The following is a 13,312-nucleotide window of genomic DNA, read 5'->3' as shown; positions in this document are numbered from 1 at the left end:
AGTTCTTAGGACCCCCCAATTCATTGACAACTATATAAAATACACAGCTCTTTTTAAAAAAATATGCACTAAAGTTTTCATATGTAATTGACTAATTTGGTTATGCGAGCTCTGGCAATTCTTATCATTACATATAGGTTTTTAAAAATTTATATTATGAACCACATTCACCAGCATTACTCATCTCAGATCACAAGCTCCTTGAGGCTAGGGGACTCTATCTGCTTAATTTGCTTTAATAGGTACAGTCCCACATAGAGATTATGGGTTAATAGTACTTTTGGTGGAGTAACACAAGCATCAGTCAAGTGAACTAGTGTAAGTACTCCTCATCCATCATTGACACAAATTCTCATAAATGTGGGACAGTTATTTAACACTGTTCCTAAAGCAATTACTGACAAGCTGCCCACGAATCGGGAATATTTCCATGCATGGGATTTCAGGTTTATTCCATGATTTATTGGTTTGGGTCTGAAAAGTTTGAATTAGAAAAGTAAACTAAAATTAGACTCTATAAATCTTTTCTTCCACAGCCCCACAAGAGGTTCAGCCACCAGTAGCCAAATCCCTTCCCAGTTCTTTGCTGCTCTCCTGGAACCCACCCAAAAAGGCAAATGGTATTATAACTCAGTACTGTTTATACATGGATGGGAGGCTGATCTATTCAGGCAGTGAGGAGAACTACATAGTCACAGGTAAGACCTCTAGAGTTATCAGCGAATTGTTATAGTCTATATTCAAATATAAACATACATATAGTTGGCTCTCGATATCCAGGGGTTCCATATCTGCAAATTTAATCAAGAATGCTTAGGAAATATGTGAAAAAAATAACAACAGAACAATTAAAAATAATATAAATTCTAAAAACATAGTATAACAACTATTTACATAGCATTTACATTGTATTAGGTATTCTAAGGAATCTAGAGATGATTTAAAGCATACAGGAGGATGTGGATAGCCTATATGCAAATAATACACCACATTGTAACAGGGACTTGAGCATCCATGAATTTTGGTATCAGTAGAGGGTCCTGGAACCAATCTCTCACTGATATTGAGGAGTGACTGCACACACACACACACACACACACACACACACACACACACACACACCAGATAAATAGAGTCTATAGTTATCTGAAAATGTGTTTTTGAAATTGGGTTGCTTATTTTTATCTCCTGTTAATCACTCCAATTGTATGATCTTGAAGGTCATATTAGATTCATGGTGAAACTGAAGCTAAAAAAATATGGAAAAGTGCTCATGTTACCTCCCTCCACCCAGGGCTGTCCTACTGTGTGTTCTCTTCTATAGAGCCCACCACCCCTTACCTAAATCCTTCTAGCAATTACCTTTGCTCAGATGCAGAGGAGGCCTGGAAATGCACAAATGTGCTAAGCACAAAGAGCTCAGCACATGACTTCTCTGACTTCAGCAGACCACAAGGATTGAAATTGGGAGCCAGTGTTTTCCCAGTCAGGCTCACAGTGTCCAGTTGGATCAATGACATCATCAAATAAATGCCTCTCTCACATGAGCTATTAGAGTGGTGCAAAAGTAGTTGTGGTTTTTGCCATTGACAGTAATTACTTCTGTACCACACGAATACTTTAAAATCCTCACTAATGTGTAATAGTCTTAAGACTCAGAAGTGTGACTCAGTGTGGTTTGAATTTTAGATCTTAGAGGAAACATAGTATATCTGCCCATATCATATTATAAAGTGTGATGATACTGAAATTAAATGAAGTAAATTCTTGAAAAACTTTCTAAATACAGAAGACTTGCATTATGTATGCTGCCTGTACTGTGTTTATATTTGTATTATACTTATAGTGGTTTTGTATTTCATATTATTTTATATACTGTATGTGACTCTCATGTGAGACATTATTAATCAAATGTTGACTGATGAAAAAACCAAGGCCTAGAGATATTAACTTCTTCATAAAGGTCATAACAAGTTAGAGTCAGAGGTAGGATGAATTATTTATGTATTCACTCACTCACATTAATGCCAGGTACTAAGGTTGTAATAGGGAACTGGCCAGATACTGTCCCTCTTCTCTTGGTGCTCACAGCTTCATGGGGGCACATGTAGATGCTGGAGCAAGTCGTGTGGACAGGGCTGTGTATTCATCCAGTTGCATTCTCAGGTTTACATTTTTTTGGCCCCCCTCTAGTCTGAGAACCTTAAAAGGACAAGAACAATTACTTTTATATTTTATTATTCATAATTGGATAGAATTCCATAATATTTATTCTACAACATAGGTATTATTTTACACCCCAATTTTACAAGTGAAGAAACTGAGGGAAAGAAGGATTAAGTAACCCAAGGTCACACAGCTTGAGTCGGAGGCTTTGGTACTAACCCAAGCATTCCGGCTGTGTTGAAGAATGTGGTCTTAAAAACAAGTGTTTTAACTTGTCTTAGTTTCTGAATTTGTAAAATGGTGTTAATTACATTTTCCAGTATTTTAAAGAGAATTAGAACTATATATAAAATATAACATGTCATTAGCAATTGGTAAAGAGAAGTTATAATTGTTATCTCCTGTACAACACAGAGTTCATTGTAAAAACTGAATAGGTTAATCTTACTCCAACAGTATCTTATGGCATGATTTTAACTAAAAATTATAAACCACAGAAGTTATTTCAGAAAAAATTAAATCACACCATGGAAGGAACTTTACATATATTACATCTTTGAACCTTTACATATATTACATTTTTACATATATTACATCTTTGATGTAACATATTAATAATTAACATACAAAGCACTTCTGTGACCAAGAGGTAACATTGCATGTAATGGGATATCATAACTTTTAGAACCAGAATAGACATGTCCTCTGAGAATCCTTTTGCTCCCCACGTGTGACACAGGTATGCCCCGTATGCTTACTGATTACCTTTATATTACATCGCTGCTTTTTGTTTGTGTCATCTTGAATAGGACTGTTTGTTTGTTCATCGGTTTGCCCTGCTGAACCATAATGATCATTAAGGACACAACTATATTTGTTTTTTTCATTACTGCATCTCTTGGACCTATCACAGAGTGGGAATGGAATAAAAAGTGTTAGAGTGAAAGAATGAAGTCAGATGATTCCTGGGAATAAAAACAAGAAGATAGCAAAGGGGAACTGATGGAGGATAGGATTAGGGTAGGAATAAGGCAATAGAGAAGAGAGAAAAATGGAAAAGATACAGCCAGGGGAAGAGAAACTAAGACCCCTTCCATGCGCCTAAACGAAAGCTGCATCAGTCCACAGGGAAGTGGTGCAGCTAATGGCAGGTCTCAAACTGTGGGCCTTGACTCTTTCCAAAATGTACAGAACTCCATATGAGGTTACACTGGACAAAACCGGAAAAAGGGCAGTGTAGGGAGAGGAGGAAGAATTCACATCAATTTCTAATACCACCTGCAAAATGACACTGAATTCTGTATTTTGTTTGTTTGAATTATCAAGAACGCCATGTGACTATAGGCCCTGAAGAAAGATTGTGGTAAATGGCACCATAGTGTATTATTACAATAGAAGCCCCAAATATAAAGAAAGTGAAATATTTTTAAAGTGCCTACATCCATGGTAATAGATTGATTCTTCAATGGTTTTCTATCTTTATGTAATATTTTAAAGAATATATCTCCAATACTACCCATAGCATTTTTTTTTCTGCTGTAGCTTTCTTGGCATTTCATAAGCAACTATGTTCCTTGTTGCTTTCATCTCCAAATAGTTTAAGATATGAAGCATATTGGGACTGCAATGCTGGTCAAGGAGGGGAAATAAACTGAGAAAGTTAATATGGGGTTCAAAGATGCACATGATTATTCTAACTTTATAGCTAGAAAAACTGAGACCTAGATGGGTTAAGAAACTCTAGTCAGTAATCAGAGGAACTAATTCAAATGTAGATCTGTCTGGCCCCAAATCCTCTGCTTTTAATTTCTATACATTCTGCTTGTTGCTCATATTTTATTTTCCCTTGCCAGAACTCTAAAAGAAAGACCCCAGAACACCTGTATTAGTCTGCTAGGGCTGCCATGTCAAAATAACAAAACTGGGTGACTTTAATAGAAAAGTATTTCTCACAGTCTGGAGGCTGAAAGTCCGAGACCAAGATGTTGGCAAGCTTGATTTGTCCTGAGTCTCTTTCCGTGGCTTGCAGATAGTGGCCTCCTCACTGTAGGTGCACATGGACTTTCTTTCAGGTGACTTCATCCTTGGTATTTTTTCCTCTTCCTCTGAGGATGCCAGTCCTATTGGATGAGGTTCCCACTCTTACGACCACAGATTTTATATCAGTGATATGGACTAAGTTCAGGTCATTTATATTTTTAAAGTTTAGCTATCTACAGAGACTCTCAGAGAAGACTAAATAGGAAAGGGACTCTGTCTGTCTGAAGTCAGCAAGGGAGAAGGCTGTGGAGAAACTGATCTAGCCATTGGGATGGGCTTTAGCTTCTATGGGCAGTTTAAGTCTACACCATAACATGTATCTATCTACAATGCTATTGGTACTTACTGCTTGTCTTTGTGTCAGGGTATTTGTGACATAGTATCTTTTCCACACTGAGTGGCTTGTGGGTAGAACTTCTATTCATGATGTCTGGTGATTTCAATAATAGTGTCAGTTTAGGTCTACTAAAGTGGATCTGTATAGAGCTGAAATATCTCTTCATAGAGAAACCGAGAAGTGGAATACAGAGTTTACTAGATAGGGAAAATAATTGATAATATCTTTAATTATAAAAGTGATAAATTCTTACAGAAGATAATTTAAAACATGCAGACAAGTAATACCTGAGAATCCTGTCATATTGAAACTCATAATATTTGATGGAATTCCTTCTACTACTTTATTCATGTTAACAAAATTGAGCTATAACCTATGTATGATATTGAATACATATTCCCTTATTATATTATGACTATATCCTATCATTAAACATTTTTGTAAAAATATTTTGAAATGTTTTGAATAACATTATATTCCATCTCATATAGCATATAATGGATATTTATTAATGCATTTAACCATTTGAGCAATAGTATCTAATCTATCTCTATTTTAAATATCTTGACATAGATATTCTTATACATAAATCTTTATTTGCTAGGTTCCTAGAAGAATAGCTAAATCAAAGGTAATGAACATTTGCAGAATGTTTGGTATAGTTTGTCACATTATTCCAGGAAAGTTGTCAGCAGTGAATTTTATATTCTTAAATATTTGATTATTTTACAAAAAAAAAAGTTATTTTATTTTAATTTGCATTTTAAAGTACTAGTTATAGTGAATACTTTTCTGAATAATTATTAACCTTTTATATTTTCCTTTCATTCATCTAATCACATTCTTGATGAGCAAAAATTTAATTGGGGTAAGGAATAATTTTGAGACTTCTCCACGAGCTATCCTGTTTTTTCTGGTTACAATCACCCACACTGTTTAAAATGTTTTACCCTCTACAATATCAGAAACTTCCCTACTAACTTGGTTTAATGTCCCCTCCTAAATATTCAAAGTGTCAACAATTTTTTTCTCACTCCTACTTCATTTACTTGTAGTTTCCCTTTAGGTTTCCATATAGAATCGACATTCTTCCCGTAGGGTTTGCCAGTGGATCTTGCTGCCATGGGGGGCACAAGCAAAGTAAATGCATTTCAATTCAGAAGCCACTTAGCATCCAGGTGGCTTGGATTTTTTTTTCTTCTTTTTCTTAAATATGAAGCATTAAAAGTCAAAGGCATTGCTGCACCTTGAGTTAGTACAAAATTTATTTTAAAATGCATACAGTTCAAATTTTTTACCTTGCATAGGCCATAAGCTAGTAGTATGGTGGGTCAGTTCTGACACTGAAAAATGAATCCAGTTAGAGAACCTCCCGAAGGCTGTTGATGTTTGCTATAATAAATAGCACACACTTTAAGTCAAACTTTTTCATTCTGTATTCAAAGGTAATGGATTTTTCGTAACCATAGTAACCTTGGTGTATTCTGGATAAATACGTGAGGTATATACATTCTAGTTTTATTTTTGAATATAAACTACCACATTATGTATTACTAATAATATGAAAAATAGGATGTAGGTTAGTATAATGACAGCTTAAACTAGTATGCATTTTCCTTCTGCAAAAAATAAATATTTATCAAAAGTATAGGTTCAATTAATTTTTCTCCCAGTTTTGTGGTATTCTGGTGGTGCCATTTATCTTTTTTTCCAAGATCTCCATTAATCTCTTATTTCTGTCCCATAACAGATTTTTAAGAATTTTGAGGTAAAAACAATTGTACTTTAAAGCTTATGATTAAAAACATAATCGAAAGATTGAAGGACCTATATTGATATCACTAGCAGAGCTATTGTGGGCCACTTAAGATGTGTGTATACAGTACATTCCCAAACAAGTAGACAAAAGAAATCCTTCATGAGACTGTTCAACATACCAGGATTGTTTCAAAGTTCAGGCTGGACAGCACCTGATCGATGATGACTATCCAGACTGTAGCCACAGATTATTCTTATTTTAAACGAGCACCCTACCAGAAACTGGCCGTTTTTAAGAAGTTTATAAGATGTTTCCAAAAAGCCTACAAACTTTTTAGAAACAAAAATAGCAAGATGGTGCTAATCAGGACAAGTCTCCACCAAACCCGGCAAGGAGGTTTATGCGAGTTGTGCTTCCTAGTTAGAAAATACTACCTGAATTGCTTTTGGTTAAGCCAACCTAAGCCATTGCTGTGGATAATGACTAGAACTCCAAAAGAGGAAAGGTTAATAGGGACATTATAGAAAAATAACAACTATCTCACACCAAGCCATAACACGTGTGTTTTCAAATGTATCATCTGATAAATCTACATAGTCATCTTATAGTTAAATAAGAGTGACTGATATCTAGAACCATAGATAGTGTCTTCCCACTGCTGTTCCATCAGGACCTGGATTTCTATCACTAAGACTGAGGCAGTAAGATATAGATAATAGCAATGTAATGAGTGTGTGCATGCGTGTGTGTGTGTGTGTGTGTGTGTGTGTGTGTGTGTAATTGAGAGACAGAAAAATAAAGAGAGGGTAGAAAGGCAGATGTGGGCAGGGGGAAAGAGGGAGGAAAAGTGGATGAATTCTGGTAAAATCATATAGGCAATAATTATTTATGTCTAACCAACTAAAAGTGCTAAAACTTTTTTTTTGGTCTTATTTGCCAAGGTCAAAGAGAACTATGTGTAAATAGCAAAATAGAAATGCTCATCTTAAACTTTCCAAACACTTAAGTCTTACGATGGGAAATTTATTGACGAAGAAGCTGTATTGCTTATGGCACAATAAAAACACATTTAAAGGTTAGGCACTTCTATCCGAGCGTTATAAGGAACCTTATCAGCACTCTACAAATTTGAGCTAAATTATACTCATTCACACCAATGGCTTACAGAAGCTCTTTTCTTAGCAAAATAGAATTTTACTTTAACCTAGATATTTTCTTTATTTTGCATATTTAAATATCACATTGCAGTACATTGAAATAACTCCTCTTACATAAAAATACTATTACCTAAAGGAATGCTGTTAACACGCCTGTGTTCTGTTACAAGCTCTAATATTAATAAAGCAGAGCATGTGAGGATTTCCAGGTAAGATGACGGTCTCATCCATGAGTCACCATGCCACTCTATTACAAACGAGGTCATACCATGTTTCCCTTTGATGTCTCAGTCATATAGTATTAAATTGTACAAAGTCTGAGAAACTTTAAGGACACGAAGGAACAAAAGTCAAGCTATGCAATAAGTAGAGCCTTCAAAGCCAAATTACTAAGCTACTAACTCTGTGACCAGAGACTCCAGAATAGTTGTTCAAGGTTGTTCTATATACCAGATCTTTGGGTTAATGAACAGTGGATGCTATACTCTCAAGAGTCTTATTCATCGAGCAACAAAGGGTCAAATGAAATGAAATAACTTGTACAGAATGTTTGAATATCAGTTGTGGTTAGCTGTAAACAATACAACCTAAGTGTCGTTCTTCCATTAAGGTGCTTCTATAATGCACCCGTATGTGAAGAAATAAAATATGTTTAAATTTACATTTTAAGACCCGTACCCAAATATTATATGATCTGTTAACCTAATTAAGGAATATTATGTTCGTAAATGATAGGGAAAGATTCTATGCTTAAAGGGATTTTAGAAGAATCATGGGAATAATATTCAGTTAGAAAAGCAATGGAGTTAAATGCTGGAAAGATAACGGAATATGTCCTTCAGTTGAAAGTGTTACAAATAGAGGTGTCCTGTTATTTTCAGCATTTTGAGAGTTGCTATGATTTTTTATGTACGTTTTAAAGTGCTTAAATTGAGTTATAAATTAATACAGAAAAGTGGACACATCTTAAGGGTACAGCTTGATGGATATTTACAAAGGAAACACATCTATGGAATCTGTACCCAAAACAAGAAACAGAACATTGTCAGCACCCTGTAAAGCTCCTCATTTTGTGGCCTCAAATCTTGACTCAGGTGATTGCTTTCCTGAGTGTTGACACCATAAACTGATTTTGCTAATTTTGTACTCAATATAAATAGAATAAGAAAGTGGAGGGGGGGTCTTCAAAAAGCTTATGGAAAATGCATATTATGAAAAATGTGAGGATTTCAATTTTTTCCACCAAAATAAACTCATACTAACTTGTTATAACATTCCTGAACCAGATCTAGTTTGAGGTGGTAAGAAAGTTAAGACATCAGTCTGAAACAAGCCCCTACCAGGGCAACATGAATTCAGTAAAATTGAAGCAAGGACAAATATCAAATTTCTGGTGAAGCTTGCATAGAAGAATAGTGAAATCATTGATGTTTTACAAAAAGTTTTTGAGGACAATGCCCCAAAGAGATCGGCAGTTTACAAGTGGATAACTCATTTTCCTTAAAGGACAAGGAACAAGACAGTATTAAAGATGAAGCCTGCAGTGGCAGACCATCCACATCAATTTAGAAGGGAAAATATTCATTTTGTCTGTTTCCTAATTGAGGAAGACAAACAATTAACAACCAACATCATACACATCTCAATTGGTTCACTTTGTACAATTCTGACTGAAAAATTAAAGTTGAGGACATTAAACTTAGCAAGCTAACATAGGAACGGAAAACCAAATACCACATGTTCTCACTTATAAGTGAGAGCTAAATGATGAGACTCATGGACACATAGAGGGGAACTACACATACTGGGGCTTTTCAGAGGTGGAGGGTAGCAGGAGGGAGAGGATTAGGAAAAAAAAAAAACTAATGGGTACTAGACTTAATACCTGGGTGATGAAATAATCTGTACACCAAACCCCCATGACACAAGGTTACCTATGTAACAAGCCTGCCCTTGTACCCCTAAACTTAAAATAAAAGTTAAAAAAAAGTTGAGTGAACTTTCTACTTAGTGGGTGCCAAAACTGTTGCACCCAGATCAGCTACAGACAAGAGCAGAGCTTTCAATGGAAATTTTAAACAGGTGGAATCAATATCCTGAAACATTTTATCAAATAATTGTAATAGGAGTTGAAATATGGCTTTACCAGTACAATCCTGAAAACAAAGAACAATCAAAGCAATGGCTACTAAGAGGTGGAAGTGGTTCACTCAAAGCAAAAGTGGACCAGTCAAGAGCAAAGGTCATGGCAAAAGTTTTTTGGGGATGCTTGAGGCATTTTGCTTGTTGGTTTTCTGGAGGACCAAAAAACAATAACATCTGCTAATGATGACAGTGTTTTGAGAATGTTAGCCAAAGCTTTAGCATTAAAATGCCCAGGACAGCTTCACTAGAGTCCTTCTTCACCATGATGATGCCCCTGCTCATTCCTCTCATTGAACATGAGAAATTGTATGACAGTTTTCACGGAAAATCATTAGGATCTTACAGTTCTGATTTGGTTCCTTCTGACTTCTTTTCGTTTCCTAATCTTAAAAAAATCTTTAAGGAGCACCCATTTTTCTTCAGTTAATAATGTAAAAAAGACTGCATTGACATGGTTAAATTCCCAGAACAGTCAGTTATTCAGAGATGGACTAAGTGGCTGGTATCATCACTTACAAAAATGTCTTGACCTTGATTGAGCTTATGTTGAGAAACAAAGGTTATATTTTTATTTTTTAATTCCATTTTCCATGAAATTTTTGTAGTTCCCTTATATGTTCTCTTTTGTCACTGTCTTTTTCTTAGAGATATAGGAGGGAGAGTAAATCAGTACAACAATTTTTTGTGTTCCTGTACCTACATTCAGAACCCTCTGATCTACAGGCAATTGCTAAGATGTTGTTAGTTGTTAAATTCCTGTCTTCCAGAAAGCCATTGGAAAATTTGCAAACTGAAACATCTACCTCTTTCTCCAAGTTCAGATCTAGAAAATAATTATAGAAATGCTTCATCTGTGCAATTAGAATTTAGCACATGAAGTCACTGACCCGTGTACACTAGCAACAAACAAACCATATAAACCATTCTGAGTTTCCAACAATGTAATGTTGTGTGACCATAAAGTTTATGATGCTGTAGAAAAATATTTAATTTGGAAAGATAATAACAACAAATATTTTACACATATTTGAGTCTAATTCGTTAAAATATATGTGTATATACATAGATACATATACATGGATGTGTACATATACATATATAGGTATGTCCCCATATGGACATATACCAAAATACTAATAGTGATTATCTCTTAATAATGGGAGTCTGGTATTGCTTTTTTTTCTTTTCCTTGAGAGTCGTTCAATCTTTTAAATTCTCTACAGTTTGGATATTAGAAGTCAGATTCTTTTTGTAATGTTATTCCCAATTTTAATATATGTGATAAAATTGATAGAAAGGAAAGAAATTTCGGGAACCTGACTACACTTAACCATTAATACTTATCTCTAGTTTTCCCTAGTCTTCACCTTATATTTAATCAGGTTGATCGTCTTACTAATTTCCTTCTAGCCAATACCATAGATGACCTCTAGCACTATCTACCACCATCAAAACGTTATGTATATTTGATGATCTACCTCAATTCCCACATCTTCATTTGACTCATAGACTCTTCCATATCAAATTCCTACACATTTGTCATTTGGACACATTCTATCTTGCAATATTGACTTATTTTCAAAGGAGTAAATCTTGATTAAAAATAAGAATGTAAGTGCATTGGTTACAGTTATTATGCCATTATTTATTTTCAAAATTTCTGTAATATCTCACATAGGAATAAGGACCCAACTGGCATCCAACAAACTCACTGAATTGAGTTTAAATGAATTAAGTTGAAAAAACACTGAGACTCAGTAAATTAATATTTTAGAGAAAATAACAATAAATACCAATGCATAATTTGGATATAATTAACATGCTAAACTTGGTAAACAATTTTATTGAGGTAGGCTTTCCTGTAGCTTAGGATTTTTCATTTAATCATCCAATATATAGCAAATATATACAAATATTTGTTGCTCAATTATGTGTTTTAGCTTGCTAAGACTATTGTAACAAAGTAACACAAACTAGATGGCTTAAACAACAGAAATTGACTGTCTCACACTTCTAGAGACAGGGAGTCCCAGATCAAGATATTGGCAAGACTGGTTTCTTCTGAAGGCTATGAGGAGGAATCTGTTTCATCCCTCTCTCCTTGTTTTGGTTGTTTGCTGGCGATATTTGGCATTTCTTGATTGTATATGAATCATCCCAATCTCTGCCATCATCTTCACATAATGTTTTCCCTGTGTGCTTATCTGTGTACAAATTTCTCCTTTTTATAAGGACACTAGTCATATTGGATTTGGGCCCACCTTGTTGAGCTCATCTGAGCTAATTACAACTGCAGTTCTAGAGGCTAGGACTTCAACATATGAATTTTGGGGAGAACACAATTCAACGTGTAACTCTAGTGCTGTGCATTTGATGCTGTGATTAATAACATTCTAAAACTTTCCTGAAATACCTAAAACATATTAGAGAATTTAAGGTGTGTGTTCACAATCAGTTTTAAGATGGATATGGCCCATGACAGTAATGAAAATATTTAGAAAAGGTGATAATCAATTCCATCTGGAATGCTCCCAGCCTTACTTTTTGCATCTTCACAATCACATCTCTTACTTCCCTGGCTTGCTTTCTTTGATTCTTTATAGGAGTGATTAGTTTCCTAGTGCTGCTTAATACAATACCCAAAATGGGATGCCTTAACACAATAGAAATGTATTCTCTTGAAGTTTGAGAGGCTAGAAGTTTGAAATGAAGGTATCAGTAGGCCCATTGTCTCTCTGAAAACTGTAGGGGAGAATCCTTCCTTGCCTATCCCGCCCTCCAGTGGTTTCTGGCAGTCAGTGGTATTCTGACAGTCAGTGGTTTCTGGCAGGTGTCTGTCAGTCAGTGGTATCCTGGCAGTCAGTGGCTTGCAGTTGCGTCACCCCAATCTCTGCTTGTATCATTACATAGTGTTTTCCCTTCTTCTAAAGTTCTCTCCTCCTCTAAGGATAACAGTCATATTCAATTTAGGGCTCCCCGTCTTTCAGTATGACCTCAACTTAACTTCATGACATCTGCAAATACCTTATTTTCAAATGAGGTGACATTCACATGTACAGGGAGTTAAAACATGGAGATACCTTTTGGGAGGACAAAATTCAATCCACTACACCTCCATTGACTCCACAACTACTTTGCCACTCAGTTGAAACTGTTCTCACCTAGATTGTCAATGTTCTGGTAGTCTCCAATTCAGGGACAGAGTGGAGGTTGTATAATTCATGATGTTTTATTGATGATTCCTCCATCTCAGAACATTCTTCTCTTGGTGTCTGTGATACCTCACCTTCTCAATTTTCCCTATTACTGTTCAAGCTCTGGTGTGATCTCTTCCTCATTTTCTTCCACGCACAAATGTTGGTTTCCCCCAGGATTCCTCTTGAAACATTCCACACAATCTCCCTTTGAAAACTCAGTAGTCCTTGTCTTCAGATATTTTTCCTAAGCCATGAACATTTTTCTCACTGCATATTGGGCACTCCTGCTACAAGTGTTTTTACTCCAACTCCTTAAAACTGAATTTATTTTATCTGCCACATCCTACCAATGTGCTCTTTTTTCTGAGTTTTTTATCTTTGGGAAAAGTAACACTATTCATTCTTTTTCCCAAACAAAAACCCAGCATTAATCTTTGATTACTCCTCCTTCATCCTTCACATCCAAACTTTTTTGCTGTTCTTGTTTTAAGACAGGGTCTTCCTGTGTCAC

At 35.4% G+C, this 13,312-nt stretch overlaps 1 protein-coding gene across 1 annotated transcript in view; it reads left to right on the top strand.

Annotated features, from left to right (window-relative positions):
• The window catches only part of USH2A (usherin), an 800,558-nt gene that overhangs the window by 376,320 nt on the left and 410,926 nt on the right, over positions 1–13,312 (top strand). The window contains exon 32 of the mRNA NM_206933.4: positions 537–698. Coding sequence (NP_996816.3) covers positions 537–698 — 162 coding nt within the window. The remainder of the gene's footprint in view (positions 1–536; positions 699–13,312) is intronic.

This window comes from Homo sapiens, chromosome 1 (assembly GCF_000001405.40).
Source record: "Homo sapiens chromosome 1, GRCh38.p14 Primary Assembly".
Taxonomy (NCBI): Eukaryota; Metazoa; Chordata; class Mammalia; order Primates; family Hominidae; genus Homo; species Homo sapiens.
Note: the sequence above shows the minus strand (reverse complement) of the source record. Positions and strands in the feature narration are given on the sequence as shown.